A 19,986-nucleotide genomic window follows, 5' to 3' on the forward strand; every position below is an offset into this window, starting at 1 on the left:
AGACAGGGTTTCATCATGTTGCCCATGCTAGTCCTGAATTCCTGGGCTCAAGCAATCCTTCTGCCTTGACCTCCCAAAGTGTTGGGACTACAAGCTTGAGCCATCATGCTGGACCACTCATTTCTTTTTTTATTGCTGAATGCTATGAATATACCTCAGTTTATCTGTTCTCCTGCAAATCTGACGTATTTGTAGGTTTTGCCTATAATGAGTAAAACAGCTATGAACATTTTTGCACAAGATTTTTTGAGGATATATTTTCATTTCTTTTAGGTAAATTTCTGAGAGCAAGATTAATGGGTCATATGACAAATTTGTTTAACTTTTTAATAAACTGCTAAAAATTTTCCAAAATGGTTGTACCATTTTGTACTTCCACTCACTATAGATGAGCATTCCAGTTCCTCCTCATCCCTGCCAACGTTCGGTGGTGTCAGTTCCTTCCACTTTAGCCATTCAGCTGTGTGTATAATGGTGAGTGGGAGTTTGATGGATGGGGAAATAAGATGCCTGGAGTGTCAGACAAATCCATTGAGTGTAATACCCAAACAACATTACAGTTACTAAATATGGGTAATTTATTTGACAGTTTCAAGGAACCACAAATCCCCCCTGTGGAGGGCCAACTCTAAACTCATTTCCCACTCCATGCTGGCAGTAGACAACATGTCCCTCATGCTCATGCTCTCAGGGGTAAGCAGGTTCTTTTTTGTTTTGTATTATTTTGGCTTTAAACATTTTTTCTTTCTGCTTCTATTGGACCAGGGGAGTCAGATTATTTACAAAGTGCAGGTAATTTTATGAGAAGTCAAACTCCTTCTGTGCTGAGCCATGACATGCATGCAGAATGAAAAGTCAGCTCCAACAGTGACCAATCCTGCATTCTGATCTTTCTGCGTGACTGAGCCTGCTTTGTGAAAGCTCATTCTCTGGCTTGAAGCCATCTATTGACTCTTGTCACCAGAAGAATAAAATGCATGCTCCACAAAGCCTTGAGTGCCGACCATCATGGACCTCTCCACCTCATCTCCACATGCTTCCTCTCTATGTTCCACTTCTGCTGACTTTGTTAGGTGTCTCAAATGCTCAAGAGCTAACTCCTGTCTCAGGCCTTTGCTGTTTTTCGTTTTTTGTTTCTGGGACAGGGTGTGATTCTGTCACCCAGGCTGGAGTGCACTTGCTGTTTCTTGTGTCTGTAATGTTCTTTTTCCTGCTCTCTCTCTTTTTAATTTTATTTTTGCTATTTACTTATTTATTAGAGACAGGGTCTCACTCTGTCACGTAGGTTGGAATGCAGTGGCGAGATCACAGTTCACTGCAGCCTCAACCTCCTGGGTTCAAATGATCCTCCCACCTTAGCCTCCTGAGTAGCTGGGACCACAGGAATGTGCCACCTGGCTAATTTACATTTTTTTTTTTTTTTGGTAGAGACAGGGTCTTGTCATGTTGTCCAGGCTGGTCTCGAACTCCTGGGCTCAAGCCATCCTTCCACCTCGGTCTTCCAAATGATGGGATTACAGACATGAGTCACTGTGCCCAACCTCTTCCTACTCTTTATGGATGAATTTCTTAACCTTGGGTCTCAGCTTTTCAGCATTTTTCCATCTCATCAGAGATGATCTTTCCTAACCACCAAATTAAAATGATTTATTTAAAGAGCTAGATGTCCAGTCTTTTTATTAAAAATGTGGAATCTATTAGAGTCATAGGCCTTTCCCCCCAATCAGTCTTGAGGAAGAAGAAGAAAGTGTCAGTGACTCCTCTTCTGATTTGACTCTACCGTTCCACACCTATTTCTGTATGGATAACACAGAGATGCTCACTGCAATGATTACCAGGCAGCCCATTGTCAGGTAAGGCAATCAATCAGAATGCCATGACTCTCTTTGAACGTTAGTTTCACAGGACATGAAAATAACGTCTTAAGAATTTCTCAGGACCCCTTTGCTCACAGTGTACTTTCAGTTCCAGTTGCTTAACAATTATAGATATTCACACGCATCTCCATATGGCACTGAAAAATGAGACTGCATGTTCCTAAGAATGTTCTCAATTTCACATCTTATCAAATCGAATTCTTTGAAGCTCATTTTGTGAAGCAGGAAGATATCTGCCCCATGGTGACTACAGGAGAGAGGAACTCTCCTCTTCATCGCCTTTTGAGCCTTCCTCTGTTAATTGTGAAGCCTTTTGCATTGTTAAGGCCAGGCCCTGGAATGTCATTGTTTGATATTATCACAAAAAAGTTGGTTCCTGGAGCTCAATTTTGCTGGCAGAAATGGAGACAGGGATGAACAAAAGCATTTTTAAATGTAATAAAAAGTGAACTAAGGATCACAGGATATGAATCCTGCAAAGAACTTGTACTCTGTAATCAGTTTATTTATTTTTTTGGTTGCTTACAGCCTTCTTTGTTTTTCCCATTACATAGGGGAAATCCATGGGGTCAGGACTATGTATGTCCCTTTTAGGGCTTCTATGCCCAGCACTCAGCATCAAACTTGGCACATAATAGGTGCTTAGCAAGCATTTGTTGAATGAATGAATGGATAGCTGGATGGATGTGTGGATGAATGGGTGGGTGGCTCATTGGTATGCTTCTTAGATGAGGAGTCCATAAAAATTCTTCCCTTAGTCAGAATATTCCTTGTGTCTTCTGTGGGTGGGGAGGGGTCTGTGGTTCTTAGCAAGTTCCAATTTTTTGCCAAAGAAGGCACATTCACACACATGTAACTTCTCAGCTTCTCCAATTTTCCCGTCTCTAGCTCCCACATGACCAAGTCTACCTAGTACAGAGAAAAACATCCCCTAGCACCATGTTGGCTGATGGTGACACCTCAGGGCTCCAGTTTCTACATTCTGTGTCCCAGGATGTTGCAATCACAGCTATGCAGAATCACTTGAAAAGAATCAAGTGACCTCCCCTTTTCATAGCCGGAAGCCTGGAGTTCAAATTTACCCTAGTTTTGCTCCATTTCAAGGTGACCAAGACCCCACTGGGATGCAGACACCATCCAAGTCCCTGTCCTGTCCTGGGTGGGCCCTTTAAAAAACTCTTGGAGGAATCTGACTGCCAGAGTCCAGGCCCATTTAAGGGACAACCACAGACAAAGTGGTTTTAAACAGTATTTATTAGGGGATCCTAGGTAAAGTTGTCAGATTTAGCAAAAACAAAGGAACAAATGAAAACGAAAACCACAAGCTCAGTTAAATTTGAGTTTCAAATAAACATGGAGAATTTTTTCAGCATGAGTATATTCCAAATATTGCATAGGACATAGTCATACTAAATGCTATTCCTTGTTTATCTGAAATTCAAATTTGACTGGGTGTCATGTATTTTAACTGGCAACCCTACCTCCTCCAGCTCTCAGTAGCCACAGCAGAAAGCAAGGAGGCAGCTTTGAGGATGAAGGTCAGGGTCACAACTCCTAGTTACCTATTTTGTATTTTGAAGTTCCTCCCTTGACTTACTTTGTAAAAAGGGCTCCATTGATTTTCTTTTTTTAATTCTTGACCTAAACCTGAAAACCTCAAGTTTGACCTTCACATACAAGAAAGATGCCCCATGCAGTGGGCATTTGTCCAACTTGGGGTGTGGCTTTTCTCTCGTGTGGGTCTCAGGCTAGGTGGTAAGCAGAGAAAAGAGATCATGATGGTGAGGGGGTGGTGTTGGGCATGGTGGCTCACATCTGCAATCACAGCACTTTAGGAGGCTGAGATGGGAGGATCACTTGAGCCCAACCAGGAGTTTGAGACCAGCCTGGGCAACACAGTGAGACCCCATCTCTACAAAAAAAAAAATTATTAGCTGGGCATGGTGCTATGCACCTACAGTCTTAGCTACTAGGAAGGCTGAGGTGGGAGGATCCCTTGAGTCCAGGAGTTTGAGGCTGCAGTGAGCTATGATTAGGCCACTGCACTCCAGCATGGGTAACAGAGTGAGACCTTGTTAAAAAAAAAAAAAAAGTGAGCAAGAAACAAGCAAGCAAGCAAGCAAGAAAGAAAGAAAAAGAAAGAGAAAAAGAAAAGTTCACGGAGATCAAGTACTTGGCATTTCCAGGCACCAACACCCTGAGGCAATCACATCCAGCAGCCTCTCTGGTAAGGTGGGAATGGAAGTTTGAAGAGAGTACTGGAAGAGGAGGAGGTTGGTGCTTTCAGAGGGACTCCAAAGACACAAAGCCAGGGCCTGAGGGTCCCTGAAACTTGGGTTAGAAATACATGTTTTAGGTTGGGTTCCACCAGAAGCAGACCCTGAGACAATTACTTTAGTGCAGGTAATTTACTAGAGGAGATGATCCACAGGAGGGGAGTGGGAAGTTAGCCAGGGAAGAAAAGGACCCAATGCAGGTGTATGAATGAGCAGGTTACATGGTGGGCAATGAGCTCAGTCCTGCTGGGGACCTCTGGGAGGCTGTGTAGGGCATACCTCATACCTTTAGTTGTTTCATCCAAGACGTGAGGGAGCTGAGGTATTTATTCACCACCTCCTGTCAGCCATTGGTTGAGGGCTGGGGGGTGGGGTGAATAGTGAACTGCCCCTGACACTTTCTATATGTCCTGTATGTGAGCTGATCATATCCGGTGGCCAGAGACAGCAGACAGTCACAGGTACTTGCAATAGGAAGCTGTCAGGTCAGTGGTTGCCAAGGGGATGTGGGTGGGATACTGACAGTGCCTGCTGCAGTAGCAGCAGCAGCAATAGTGGTTACTTCTGATCAAGCACCATGTACTATGTTCTCTGCTTGGAGCTTCATGTGCAGTTGTTTAAATTCTCACTGACTCTGGGAGGGAGGGACTAGCATTCTCTTTAGTTTACAGAGAGGTGAAGTCACCTTCCTATGGTCACACAGTTAGGAAAGGAAGCATCTGTTTTGCAAACTCAAGTCGTTTTGACCCCAAAGGCCAGAATCTATCTATGCTTTGCTGAAGCTGTGATTTTTTTTTCAGACTCTCAGGGTAAAGAAGGAAATGAGAAATTGCAAGACAGAGTATTTCTTAGGCAATGGCTGAGAATGGCAACTCACCACATGCCTTTGAATAAGACGTGATTATTATTAACCCATATTCTATCAAAGAAGAAACTGAGGCTCAGAGAGGCAACTTACTTGCCAAAGGTCACTCTGCTGGTAAGTGGCCCAGCTGGACTTGGGCCCCAGGTTTCTTTGGGTTTTAACCACTCTTTTTGACTGCCTCAGTTTCCCCATCTGTCATAGGAGATGGTTGAAAACATGGTATCTGAGTCTCTGGTATAGGTTGAATTGTGTCCCACAAAAGAGATGGTGAAGTTCTAATCCCCGGTATCTCAGAATGCGATATTATTTGGAAACAGGGTAATTGCAGATATAATTAGATAAGAAGGGGGCGTACTGGCGTAGGGTGGACCCTTAATCCAATATGACTGGTGTCTTCATAAGAAGAAGGAAGATAACGTGAAGACAGACACACAGGGGGAAGGTCACATGATGACGGAGGCAGAGATTAGAGAGATGCAGCTGCAAGCTAAGGAGTGCTGAAGATTGACGGCCACTACCGGAAGCTGGAAGAGGCAAGGGAGAATTCTCCCATACAGGCTTCAGAGGGAGCATGGCCCTCCTGCACCTGGAGCTTAGACTCTGAGCCTCCAGAACTATGAGAGAATACATTTCTGTGTTTTAAGGCTTCCAGTTTGGGGTACTTTTTGTTTGTTTGTTTTGAGATAGGGTCTCGCTCTGTTGCCCATGCTGGAATGCAGTGGTGCAATCACGGCTCATTGCAGCCTTGACTCCTGGGCTCAAGCAATCCTCCCACTTCAGCCTCCCGAGTAGCTGGGACTACAGGAACATGCCATTGGCCTGGGTAATTTTTGTATTATCATTATTATTATTTTGTAGAGAAGGTTTTTCACTATGTTGCCCAGGCTTGTATTGAGCTCCTGAGCTCAAGCGACCTTTTCTGCCTCAGCCTCCCAAAGTGTTGGGATTACAGGTGTAAGCCATTATGACTGGTCCGGGGCATTTATTATTATGGTGACCCGAGGAACCTAATGGAGTCTCCTTCGAGCACCACGATGAACATAGAGTGACTGCCGTTCCCCACTCTGCTCACCCCAAGAAGCACAGTCGAGGGACCCTGTTGTGTGGATTTCTCATGGGTGATAAAGAGAAACCATATCATTATAAGAAAGTGAAGTTAAAATTGTCACTATTTTCATCCTGTTCTAAATTATATATTAATGCAGACTACCTCAATAGAGGCTCAAATACCCCCCATTTTAATGCCATATATGTATATATATATATATATATATATATTTTTTTTTTTTTTTTTTGAGATGAGGTCTTGCTCTGTTGCCCAGGCTAGATTTCAGCTCACTGCAACCTCCGCCTCCCAGGTTCAAGTGATTCTCCTGTCTCAGCCTCCCCTGGTAGCTGGGATTACAGGTGCACATTACCACGTCCAACTAATTTTTGTATTCTTTAAGTAGATATGGGGGTTTCACCATGTTGGCCAGGCTGGTCTCGAACTCCTGACCTCAAGTGATCCACCCACCTCGGCCTCCCAAAGTGCTGGGATTACTGGCATGAGCCGCCATAACTGGTCTTAATGCCATATTCTATTTTTAATAGAAATGTGTACAAAACAAGGAAATATCTTGCTCAATCATTAAAAGAGCTGTCTGTAAAACCACAGAGAGAGAGAGACCCCTTTTCATCTCCTTATCATACGATCTCCCCAGAGTTTGTTTAGCTGGTCTTATTTCTTACATTTCTTACATTTAAGTTAGGTGGTGTCTTGTCTTAGTTTGCGATCCCCGGCAAATGGGGTCTGAGAGGAGGGTTTGGATGCAGGAGGGTTGGTTGGAAGGAGATGCAGGAAGCAGGAGTGAGGGAGCGGGGAGATGAGGAAGAAAAGCAGGCCACCATATGGGGGGCATGTGTAGCTGGTTATCACTGGGGGAAACTGGGACTCTAGCCTGCAACACATCCTCTGAGGAGCCCCGCAGAATGTGCCTCAGAATTGCTCCCTTGAGGGATGGGGGCATTTGTCCCTCAACTCCTGAACCCCTAGCAGAGGGCCAGCCCTGGGGACGTGAGTGCCTTGTACTTGTTGGCTGCACCTAGTGGAGAACTAAGCTGCTTCTGCATCTTTGGAGATGTCCCTAAGGCAGAAAAGTGGAGTCGTTTCCTGGCTGCTGCTTGCGAAGAGTGTTACTAGTCTGCATGGAAGTGTGTGCCACAGCGATGCAGAAATCGGAGGTGGTTCAAGGCCGTGAAATGCAGGCAAACAATTTCCCATTAGTCATAAATGCTGAGGGTGTCAACAGGCTCAGTGTGGAATCATGATTAGCACTGGAGCCATGCTGTCTGGGCTGGAATTTCAGCACAGTTCTGTGTCATTGGAGCGCCCCTCTGAATTTCAGTTTCCTTATCTGTGCAATGAGAACAACCACAGTGCTTCCATCCTGGGATGAATATTAGTTGGAGTAAGACACAGGAAGCTCTCGGCACAGCCAGAAGCACAGAGGAGGTGCTCGGTGAGCATCCCCTCTCGTCCCTATTGTCCAGACACGGTCTTTGAATTCTGATGACCTGGTGGTGGGAGAAAGGGGCAGAGGTGGATATTCTTTCCTGGACAGTCAGGAAAGTTAAGAAACAAAGGAGAGAAGATAAAAGGCAATTGTAGCTCCAGCCAAGTGGACCAGGAAGGACTTTGCCACTTTAGGGACTTAGCCTGGCTCATGTTATTGATTTGCTTGGAGTATGGGGTACCCTCCCTGAGGCCCCTCTTCCTCTTCCTCCCCAAGTCTTCACCTACCTCGCCTGCCCCAGAGCAGCACCTCCACCAATTCTCCTCATTAACCGTAAACACAAATCCTGTTATCTTCCCCTCTCGCAGCACTTGCCCCTTGATTTAAGCCACATCCCTTCCCCTTTCATCAGCCCTTGGCCCCTCCTGTCGTACATCTTCTCGTTTATCTCCTTCCCCGTGGTCTCCAGCTTTCCCTGCACCGATCGATGCATGAGGGGAGATGGCAGGCGGCCCGCCAGGCCTTCGGAGCCCGCTCTTCTTCTGGGGAGCCTGGGCCAGTATTTCTTGTTAAACTTCTGTCTGGCTGTGTTCGGTTTCTCATTAGCTTTCTGCCGGGGTGCGGTAGTATTTCTTGCTCCTCAGCGGCACAGCCTGGAGATGCCTAGTAATTCTTAAAGGGCGAGGTGGAGACGTGTATCTTTAGAGCATTCTGGGTTCCATCTGGCTGTGGCTTGGAAAGGGGAAGCATGAAGAAGTGTCCCTTGGTTGTCACAGGTGGATGGGTCTTGGCGGGTCCCGCAGTCACACTGTGACTTTGCTCAGCACCGTGGGTTAGCACCTGTACCTGTGGCTGTCATCACCACCTTATGTCAATTTTGCAACCCAGTCATTGAATTGACTCTGACCTGGGTTCCCCAGAGCCAGCTTCCTCCCCAATTCGTCGCTGGAAAGACTTAGATGTGGGCCTGATTCAGGTTCCTCGCCTGTGAAATGAGATGCATGCTCTCTCTCTCTCTTTCTCTCACCTTATCCCTTTTCTTTATTTATTTAACAAACACAAAACATGTAAATAGTGTTCATTATGTCCCAGACAATCTTCTGAGAACTTGACAAACATTAACACATTTAAATTCTCCTAGTCACCGTATGATAAAGAGACAACCATTGTCTCTGTTTCACAGATGAGATACTGTGACACAGAGAAGGTAAGCAACTCGCCCAAGGTGGCACAGCTAGTAAGCAGAAGAGCCGGGATTTGAACCCAGGTAGTTTGGCTCCTGAGCATATACTCTCTTAAGAGATGGTTTCTTTTCATGGTCTTGTGGTCTCCTTAGAGTCCAAAATGCTGATATAGGCGATTTTCATTATTCATGCTAGTTATGCTCTATATATAAAGTTGCAAGCACTGAATTAGTGAAAACTGACGCATTGCTTCTAGATTGTCAACTGATCAATACATAACCAAGTTTTATGTGTGTTTCTGTTTAAAGATACCTTATTTAATATTTATCGTTGGGTTATTAAACATTGAACTCACAGCCAGAAGCACTGTAACTCATGCCTGAGTGAAGCTAACCGAATGCAGCCATTTTCTCTGTAAGGCACATCAGAACCTTCTCAGGTTTAGGAACACGAGACAGCGCTTCAACACTGTGCTTGGGCCCTTTTAAAGAGCAAAATCACCAAAAGCAACAAAGTGAAAAAGATGGAACTAAAAAGACTGCGAAAAGGACTAGCTAACAGTATGAGAGCTGAAATAAGACAGCCTTGCTCAGCCGCAGACGAAAACACTTGTATCAGGGACTCGTATGTTTCACTACACTGCCAGCACTCATGAAAGAGTTGTGGGTATTGATTTTGGGGTTAGAAATAAATTTTATCAAGTAGGTGAATTTGCAAAAACAGAACCCCTGAATAATGATCAACTCTATCTTGCATTGTTATTTCCCTGCTCAAACACCTTGTGAGGCTCCCTCCTGCCTATTATATTAACTATAAACTTCACCTGCCTGCCTTTCAAAGACTTTGATAATCTGACCCCATGCCATCTATTAAAATTTATTTCTGGCTGGCTACAGTGGCTCACACCTGTAATCCCAGCACTTGCTTGAGTCCAGGAACTTGAGACCAGCCTGAGCAACACAGTGTGACTCCATCTCTACAAAAAATAAAAATTAGCTGGGCATGGTGGAGTGTGCTCGTAGTCCCAGCTACTAGGGAGGCTGAGATGGGAGGATCACTGGAGCTCAGGAGTTCGAGGCTGCAGTGAACTATGATTGTGCCACTGCACTCTAGCCTGGGCAACAGAGCAAGACTCTGTTGCAAACAAACAAACAAAACCAAACAAAACCCCCTTATTTCCCATTACTCCTGAAAGGGCCATTTTCTTTTCCTGTGGGTTGGCAGATCGTCTTCCTCACTGTTCTACTGAGAACCAGCTCTGTCGTACCTCCAAGCCTTTTCTCCTACAATTTCTCCCCAGGCATGCTCTCCCTTCCCAACTTATCTACCAAGTCCTAGAGTTTAAAGGTTGGATCAAAGTTCTCCTTATTTATTTCAAATTTTTCAAAATTAATTACTTAATTATTATTTTCTTTAAGAGACAGACTCTCGCTATGTTCCCCAGGCTGGAATGTTGTGGCTATTCACAGGCATCATCATGGTTTATTGCAGCCTCAATCTCCTGGCCTCAAGTGATTGTCTGGCCTCTGCCTCCTGGGTAGCTGAGACTACAGCCGTGCACCACTGTGCCTGGTTTAAAGTTCTTTGTGCAGCTGATTTATCCCTTCTTGGATGCCGTAGACTCATATCATAGTGGAGGTTAATTTAAAATAAAATGTCTTTTTGTGGTTCTCTGACAGGTAGCCCACCTGGGAGGAATTTTCCAGAGATCACTGTCTGATGACCCTGTCTTGGAATTGGAGCCATGCAAGTTACACTGACCACGTTTGGGTTGGGATATTGAGGAGGTTATGGTTAAAAGCATACGATGGGAGATCATATTGTACTTGCGAGTGAGACCCGGCTGGAGGAATGTTTTAATTCTTCGGAAATACCAAGTGGTCTCTGTAAGTAACATAGGGTGGTTAGCCAAGCATAATGAGACCATTGAGGCATCCCAGCAAGAATTGATCTGTTTAGAGAAGAGATGTTGCTGCTGCTTCTTTTTTTTTAACATTTTATTTTTAATTTTGCTGCCTATGACAAGCTGCTTCTAACAGCCTCAGGGCGAGGGGCCCATGAGTGCAAGGACAGGAGAGGGGTCTGCGAGTTCTACTTGGGTAGGGCTTGGGGCATCATAGGAGTGCAGGGATCTCCTCTCTGGGATCCAGTTTAACCCTGATGACATCCCCCATGCAGCAAATAACTCCAGGTAACCGGCAGCAGCTGGTCCACATCATAGTCTGTGAGAGATTGCTCATGTCTTGCCTGTTTTCCTACCTCTTCATTCTAAGGAAAAGGACCCACAATCTGAGTGCCCTGCTCTGGGACATAGGTGGGGAACAGGCAGGGATGGGAGGTGGGGACCACTTTCTTCTGCACCCATTAAATATATGCCTTTTTTTTTTTGAGACAGGGCCTCCCTCTGTCACCCAGACTGGAGGGCAGTGGTGCAATCGTGGCTCACTGCTGCCTCAGTCTCCAGATGGCTCAAGCCATCCTCCCCCATCAGCTGTCAAAATACCTGGATTTACAGGTGCATGCCACCATGCCCAGCTAATTTTTTCTATTTTTTTTTTTTTTGTAGAGATGGGTTTTCACTATTTTTCCCAGGCTAGTCTCCAACTTCTGGGCTCAAGCGATCCACCCGCCTTGGCCTCCTAAGTCCTAGGATTATAGGTATGAGCCACTGCGCCTGGCCTTTTTGCCTTTTGAAAGTATCTGTTGTTAACAATATTCAATTGGGTTGAATCTTGCTAGGGACCAAGGTGAATTTGCATAAATTAGTCTATGCCAATTTGCATACTATCAGCAAATTTGTAGTGTACAGAATTTTGGAAATAGAAGGAAGCTAAGAGGGGTGTCAAATGCAGCTTCTTCTTTTTTTACCTGAAAAGATACCAAAGTCCAGCTCAGGGAAGGTCACACAGCTAATTCTTATCATGGGGAGACAGACCCAGGGACATCATGGTGCCTCCGAGATTAGTACGGCCCCTCAAACATCCCCATTTTCTGTCCCTAGCCCATTGGAACCCCTTAAAGTTGGTCCCTCGAGCTCGGGTGATAGCACACATGATGGAAAGTAGGCAGGCTTGCCATTGAAGCTCCAACCTAGCTCTGCACCACATCAGCTGTGTGACCTTGAGCAAATCACTTAACCACTCTGAGCATGGCATTTGTAAATGTCAAGGTAGCAACGCCCTCTTTACTGCCCTGTTGTGACAAATAAGATATATTCCATAAATATGATCCATGTAGTATTAAACTACCATTTACTGAGTCTCCCCTATGGAAAGCACTTAGTAGGTGCTCAAAAACTCCTAGTCCTTTCTTCCCCTCTTTCAATGTGTCACTGCATCTGGGTAATTTATACCCATTTCCTGTTTTCCTTTGAGAAGTGCATGTCATGCTCTGCACAAAAGTGACTCTTAATGGTGGCATTTCAAGCATCATGGCAGAGTGCTGAGACGCTGATGAAGATATTTTAGGCTGGGGTGCATGGGGAGCACTCTCAGGGCCTCTCATGCGCATCCTGAGCCCTTCCTGTGAACCAGACTGACCCTGGCTTCTGTGCCATTTTCATTCCAGCCAAGAATGTTCTGAAATGAAGCCAATATCTGAAGGATCTAGGATGCCTGTTCCCCTCTCTTATGCTGTCTCGGGGGATGATTTAGCCACCAAGAATTTTCCTTATGGTTGCAAGATGATTAAAAAAAACCACACACTCAGATGCTTTTCGGAGGTTGACATTTTTCACAGCCCCTCTTCCTCCTCCATAGATTTCCTGGAGGTTCCATCCAGCTCTGGCTCTAGCTGGCTCCTTGACTCTGGACAAGTCACTTCATCTCTCCAAGCCTTGTCTATAAAGTAGGGATAATACTCCTTCCCACTTCAGAGAGTCATTCGGGGATTAAACTGTGACATGTATGTAGCCAAGGGTCCAGCACACACTGACAACTCACCAAATATTAGCCATCACTCCAAACTAAGAAGGCAGGATTCCGGCTGGGCACGGTGGCTCACGCCTGTAATCCCAGCACTTTGGAAGGCTGACGCAGGTGGATCATGAGGTCAAGAGATTGAGACCATCCTGGCCAACATGGTGAAACCCCGTCTCTACTAAAAATACAAAAATTAGCTGGGCGTGGTGGTGCGTGCCTGTAGTCCCAGTTACAGGCTGGGAGGCTGAGGCAGGAGAATCACTTGAACCTGGGAGGCGGAGGTTTCAGTGAGCCAAGATTGTGCCATTGCACTCCAGCCTGGCGACAGAGTGAGACAGAGTGAGACTCCGTTAAAAAAATAATAATAATAAATAAGAAAAGAAGGCAAGATTCCATTAACTTCCAGAAGGTAGACTGTCTTAAATATTGGGCAATTCCCTTTCCTCCTCTCGGCCTCAGCTTTCCCATCTGAAAAATGGGAGTAGGACAAGGGAACTGGATCGCAGGCATTGACATAACTTTCTGTGGTTATTAAATAGGGCCCCACAAAGACAGTGTCGGGGACCAAGGAGCTCAGGCCGCCTGCCCCACCTTTGCCACCTGCAAGACTGTATACTCCAGCCAGTAAGGACCTCACTGTTCTCACTCACTAGTGTGTCCTCAGTCCCAGCCCAGGGACTCTGGCTAGGGGCTGACACTTAATAAATCCATGTGAATGGATGCAGGAACTCTGCTCCGATCTGTTCTATCTGCTTAGTTTTTGCATACAATTTTGTTTGAACAAAGAACCACGTGGTTTATCTATCAGTCAGGGCTCAGCAGGAAACACATGGCACATATATAATTGGGATAATTTGAGGAGAGTTTAGTAAAGGAATTGTTTACAAAGGTGTGGGCAGGGTGTAGGGAACCCACACAGGAGGGTATAACTGGGGTCTAGTGTCAGCGGGCGCCATCATCATTCCTAGGCCAGATGAGGGAAGGTTAAGAGTTAATGGCCGGGCGCAGTGGCTCAAGCCTGTAATCCCAGCACTTTGGGAGGTCGAGGAGGGCGGATCACAAAGTCAGGAGATCGAGACCATCCTGGCTAACATGGTGAAACCCCGTCTCTACCAAAAATACAAAAAATTAGCCGGGCATGGTGGCGGGCGCCTGTAGTCCCAGCTACTCGGGAGGCTGAGGCAGGAGAATGGCGTGAACCCGGGAGGCGGAGCTTGCAGTGAGCCGAGATCGCGCCACTGCACTTCAGCCCGTGTGACAGAGCGAGACTCCGTCTCAGAGAAAAAAAAAAAAAAAAAAAAGAGTTAAGGGGAGAAGGTGACGAGGTAGACAAGATCCTTGGCTGAGACCTTCAGTGAAGGGATGCAGCCAATCCTCAGAGACCCTGGCAGGCAGGAGCAGGGGGAATAAGTACGCTGACTCCATCTCCCCTTCCCCTGATTTCCTTCTGGGCCTCCAGTTGGCAGAACCAAATCGGAAGGCGGAGGGCAAGACAGTCCATTGAAGTCCACATGGGGAGAAGGGTGGAGAGGCAATGTGGGGGTTGCGGGGAGCACCAAAAGAAGATGCCCGACAGAGATGGCTAGCACCCCCGCCCCCACCGCACAACACACTCACGACACACTCACGACACACTCACGACACACTCACGACACACTCACAACACAGGACCAGAGAGCAGATCTCTACTTTCTAAGGATCTTTTCAGGTCTGACCTGCAGATTCTTCCATTTTAAATCAAGGCTAAAATATATTGAGGCTTACTGAGGTCTAGTGGCAGCTCGGAGTTATCAGTGGGTTGGGTAGTGCTTGCTGCTCTGGAACTAATGGCACAATTTTATTGCATTTAGGTCAAATTGTGCCTCAATTCCAATGTCGTATTTTTGGGTCATGGGTCTCCTCTCTCTTTCTTTTCTAAATGTGCCCGAGTATTCCTCCTGGTCCTTTGGGATGCTGACAGAGGAGCAGATATGCAGCATCTCTGCCATGATATAAGGGCTGCTGCAGTGCACAACTGTCTCCCAAGAAGGTACCGCAGGGGTGTAAAACTTCTCCCTGCATTGTCAACGCTGGTCTCCATGGATGTCTGCTGGCTTTTTCAAAAATTCTTGTAGAACAGTGCTTCTCATATGGTGATTTTGTCCCCCTTGCCCCAGGGGGACCTTTGGCCATGTCTTGAGATGTTTTTGGTTGCCGTGATTGAGGAGGTGCTACCAGCGTCTGCTGGGCAGAGACCAGGGATGCTGCTCCACATCCCACAATGCACAGGACAATCTTCTCTACAGCAATGAATTATCCAGTTCACAATCTCAATAGCACCAATATTGAGAAACCCTGTTGAAGATGGAGACTATCCACGGGGCATTGATCTTGGGGTCTCCCCCTTCCTGAATACTTGAAGTCCCTCGGCAGACTCTTGGATACCTCCAGCAATGGGGAGCTCACCACCTGTTTTGAAGCCAGGCAGGTTTGGGCTCTTCTTGTAGCTGTGTGACTCTGGATTTTCCCATAGGTGGGAGTGGATCCACCACCTTGAGCTTCAGTTTCCTCCAGTGCCATGGGATTAGCAGCAGCCCTGCCTCACAGATTGCGTGAGGATGAAATGAGATGATGCTCCTGAGTTGGCTGGTGCAGTGCACGGTACACAGAGAGTGCTCAATAAATGTTCCCTGCTGTGAATGCCCTGTCCTGGTTCACTCGCCTACATTGCGGAGCAGAGGAACTTCAGGGTTTCTTTTGTCTCCAAAATTTCAGGATTCTAGAGAGATGAAGCACTGAGTGAAGAATAATGTGTAGGTCTTTGGGAGAACTTTCCCCTTAGGGGTTGTTCCTCTGCAATGTTTGCTCATGAACATTTTGGGTGAATCATCTCTGTGGGTGTTGGAAGGAGACCTTCTAGCATAGTTTTATGATAGTCTGTGAAGGGAAAATCGGAATTCCTAAAGAAGGAAGCAGTGGGATGTCAGTTAAGTTGGGAAGCTGATGGCTCTCAGGGCCACCATTCATCACATTTCATTGAGGGGCAGCTCTACTTGGCTGCCAAAGGGTGGGCCTGGGACCCAGCAGGGCCTAGCTTGGGAGACTGGGGTTGGTGGGATGCGAGAGGGGGAATGGCCATCCCAGATGTGTCCAAACAGCTGGGTCCAGAGAGCCCTGTACCCCTGGAGGAATTGCTCAGCACTCTCTATCTGCTCCCCCAAATGCATAACTCTGGAGAGTGTAGGGCTTGGAGAAGAAGTATGCGTGGGGCTCAGGCCCAAGTCCATGGACTTTGAGAAATGACGCTTCCCTTCATTCTCATAATTGCTTAAAGCTCTCCTTCTGTGCAGGCTCCATGCTCATTCTCTCATCTGGTTCTATAATTATCCCATTTAGTGGATGAAAAGATTAAGGCCCAGAGAGGTGATGCCCCTTTCTGAGGTCACACGAATGAGAAGGGGCATGGCTGCGACTCATTCCAGGTGGCCGGGCTCCAGAGCCTGCTCCTGTGTCTCCCGCTCTGCTGTGCTGGTTTCTCCTGCAGAGCCTGCCTGTGGCTTGGGTATCAGCATGCACCTCAGCCCTCCTCCATCCATTTCCCCTTAGCCTGGAATCCTCCAATCTACGCGAGAAACCAAATGTTAACAACATTTAATCTCGCCTGGAGATTAGTGATAATTTGTGGCCTCACCAAGGTGGGGAGAGTTATTATTCAAAGTAGATATAAAGTCAGGAATGTAAGATACAAGGCAGTGTGACCAAGGGCATGGAACCTGTGGAGCAGAGGAACATGGCGGGGATGGACAGGCCAGGGGGCCCAGACCTGTGGAAAGGAGTTACTCAACACTTCACATTTACCTGCTATTCCCTAGGACAGGGACCTGTGGGTTTTTGAGGGGCCAGATGGAGGAATGTGGGAAGTGTGGGTTTATGGGGAGGATGTGTTCCCTGAGGAGACAAGAGAACAATGAGAGATGAGAGAGAGAATCCAGGAAGAGATGGAAGAAGGGGAGTAAAGAGGGGAGGGTGAGGGGGAAAAGGAACAGAGGGAAGAGATGATAAATAAAGGTGACCATGACTGCACTGAGCTCCTGTTATGGGATGGATGCTATACTAAACACTTGCATGCATTACCTTGCGTCCTTAGGACAATGTGATAATGCAGATTCATTTATTACCATTCTACAGATCAGAACGTAGATTCAAGTGAGTTTCCCCAAATTCGAGAACTAGCCAGTAACAAAAGCTGTGATTCAAATCCAAGATCAACACACCAGGGGAGAGATTTCTGCTTTTCCCCACTTGTCTTAGTCTGTTTGAGCTGCTATCAGAGAATACCTGAGACTAAGTAATTTACATGCAGAAACTTATTGCTCACAGCTCTGGAGGCTGGGAGGACAACATCAAGGTGCTGGCAGGCTTGGAGATTCTGATTCCAAGATGGTGCCTGGAATGCTGCATCCTCCAAACGTGGGGAACAAAACACTTCATCTTCACATGGCAGAAGGCAAAAAAGAGGCAAAAGGGAGCCAAAGTCATCCTTTATAATGGCATCAATCCAACTCATGAGGGCAGAACCCTCATGACCCATCCACCTCCCAAAGGTCCCATCTCTCACTACTGTTCCCAACAGCAGTTAAATTTCAACACGAGTTTTGGAGGAGACACACATTGAAACCCTAGCACCACTGGAAGGTTTTCTCCTAGGGTGTGTTTGAAGGAGCGTAGGATATGGGGGTGAAGTGACCTGGGTTCAAGTTCCACCCCTGCCTTGTGTGCGCTCACTGGGCAGCAATGGGGCTGATGAAGTTCTCAATGGGGCCAATGGAATTCTCAATGGAGCCAATAAAGCCAGTCCCTGGGAGGTAGCTCCCTGCCTCTTGTGCGCTAGGTAACCTTGGACCTATTCCGTCAACCATCTGAGCCTTATATTCTTCGCCTATTAGAAATAATAACAAGATAAACCTTCACAGGGTAGTTGTGAGGACTAAGTCAGCAGATCCTCGGGAAAGTGGTGTCTACATTTTAAAGTGTTGTGCTTGTGCAAGGGTTTCTATTCATCATCACTGTTTCTGGTTTCTAGAACCTGGGTTTTCCCCAGGCTCCCCGAGGGGCAAGATCAACCCGATAACACATATTACCCTGCAGGTAGCAGCCCTGTATCTGCAGCCCGCTCTCATTTCCACCAGCCGGAGTTGCTACTCATTGTAGCAACCATGTGTTTCTTTCCACTGCTGGAGCCTCTGGTGTCCCCTGCTGCGCCACTGTCCTTGTGCCCTATCATCCCAGACCTGCTTTCTGCCCTCCTGAGACTGCAGGTCTGCATGGATCCCCTAGGTTGCCTTTTCTACTTTGTGTGATTTTTATACTTATAGCTCTCAATATAGTTAATTCTACATGAGACTGTAGGGTCCCATGTCCTGGTTGTCGTACATCTTCTAAATAGGTGGCCACGGTAAAGAGCTTATATGGTTTCTTCACTTGCTCACCATTAACTGATTCACTTATTTATCTCTTTGGTTATTTGTGCATCTATCCATCTAATGGTCATCTCCTTTATTCCAGCAATATTCAACAGACTTTTACTCAGCATTTACTATGTACAGTTGCTGAACAGATAAATACAATAACTGCCTTTTTCTTTTGAGTCAGGGTCTCACTCCGTCACCCAGGCTGGAGTGCAGTGGTGCAATTATGGCTTACTGCAGGCTGGAACTCCCAGGCTCAAGCAATCCTCCCACCTCAGCCTCCCAAGTAGTCAGGACTACAGGGGCAAACCTCTATACCTGGCTATTTTTTTTTCATTTTTTATCTTTTATAAAGACAGTGTCTTTCTGGGTCATCCAGGATTGTCTTGAACACCTAAGTACCATTTTTAAAATGTGGTAAGATACATATAACAGGAATGTCACCATTTTAACCATTTTTAAGTGTACAATATAGTGGCTTCAATTACATTCATGATGTTGTGCAACCCTTACCACTATCTGTTTCCAAATCTTCACCCCAAACAGAAACTCTGTACCCATTAAGCAACAATTTCTCATTCCTCCTTACCACCGCCCCCCCCAGTCCCTGGTAACCTCCAATTTACATTCTATCTCTGCAAATTTGCCTATTCTAGATATTTCATGTAAGTGGAATCATACAGTATTTATCTTTTGTGTCTGGCTTATTTCACTTAGCGTAATATTTTCAAGGTTCAACCATGATGTAGCATATACCAGGACATCATTCTTTTTATGGCTTAATAATATTTAATCGTATGTATATATCACATTTTACTTACCCATTTATCTGTCAATGGACACTTGAGTCATTTGCACCTTTTAGCTATTATGAATAATACTGCTCTGAACATTTGTGTACAAGTATCTGTTTGAATGACTATTTCCAATTCTTTTGTGTGTATACCTAGAAGTGGACATTCTGGGTCATAGCATAAATCTATGTTGAAATTTTCGGGGGACCAATAGCTGCCATTTGTCAGCACTTACGATGAGTCAGACATTGAGTTTTATACTTTATTCACAATGTAATCTAATCCTATGATAGCCCCTCAAGGAACTTATCATCATCCCTCAGATGAAGACACTGAGTTGAAGAGAGTGTATCAGCCAACTATTGCCGAGTAACAAACCACCCCCAAATCCAGTGGTTCACAGCAGCCATCACTTATTCTTGCTCACACATTTGCAAGTTGGCTTAGGGCTGGTTTGTCAAGGCTGGGCTCTGCATGGGGAGCTCGGCTGAGGTGGCTCAGCTCCACATGCTTCTGAACCTCCTGGGAGCAGAAGGCTGGCCTGAGAATGTTCTTCTTAAGGCAGGAGTGCAGGAGAATGGATTAAAGCCTGCAACACATCTTTTAAAACAGGCATCCTGTCACTTACTCCTCATTCTATTATCTAAAGCAAGTCTTATGCCCAAACCCACAGTCAAAGGGCAGGGAAATATGCTCTGCTCCTTTAGTGGGATAAATTGCAAAGTCACATGGCAAAGAACACAGACAAAGGAGGGAATAAAGAGCTGGGGCCAATAATATGACCTAGCACAGGGATATTCATGATTCTCCTAAGATCAGAATGTGTGTGGGCTAGGGCCAGAATTCAACCTGAAGCCACTGGGCTCCAACTCCCAAACTGTTCTGATTTTATCTCTTTGCTTTACAAAGACAGAACACTGAAGATTCTGCTCTCAGGGTGTTGATTGACGTCTGGAAGGCAGAGACTCGTGGATTAGCAAGCATGTGTAAGAAAGTGCTCTGGATGCCACAGGGTGGTAATTTGTGCATGGAAAATGGCTGGGGTGAAGAGGAGACTAGGGTAAGTTCCACCTGAGGATGGAGAATGTGAAAGAAAGTTTTCCTAGGGGGCTGGTCTTTGAGTGGAAT

At 46.0% G+C, this 19,986-nt stretch overlaps 1 long non-coding RNA gene across 1 annotated transcript in view, besides 2 other annotated features; it reads left to right on the top strand.

Moving 5' to 3' along the window:
* MIATNB (MIAT neighbor) overlaps positions 1-19,986 on the top strand; it is a 108,051-nt gene that overhangs the window by 34,034 nt on the left and 54,031 nt on the right. Inside the window, exon 2 of the long non-coding RNA NR_110543.1 lies at positions 10,377-10,583. This is a non-coding gene — a long non-coding RNA (MIAT neighbor). The remainder of the gene's footprint in view (positions 1-10,376; positions 10,584-19,986) is intronic.
* Positions 1,897-1,946: an enhancer, noted in NCBI's record as "active region_18798". NCBI's record gives its function as "activates an Ori minimal core promoter by ATAC-STARR-seq in GM12878 lymphoblastoid cells {active_cell/tissue: GM12878}" and the evidence as "EXISTENCE:reporter gene assay evidence [ECO:0000049][PMID:35858748]".
* Positions 1,967-2,066: an enhancer, noted in NCBI's record as "active region_18799". NCBI's record gives its function as "activates an Ori minimal core promoter by ATAC-STARR-seq in GM12878 lymphoblastoid cells {active_cell/tissue: GM12878}" and the evidence as "EXISTENCE:reporter gene assay evidence [ECO:0000049][PMID:35858748]".

The sequence above is a fragment of the Homo sapiens genome, chromosome 22, assembly GCF_000001405.40.
Source record: "Homo sapiens chromosome 22, GRCh38.p14 Primary Assembly".
NCBI classification, from domain to species: domain Eukaryota; kingdom Metazoa; phylum Chordata; class Mammalia; order Primates; family Hominidae; genus Homo; species Homo sapiens.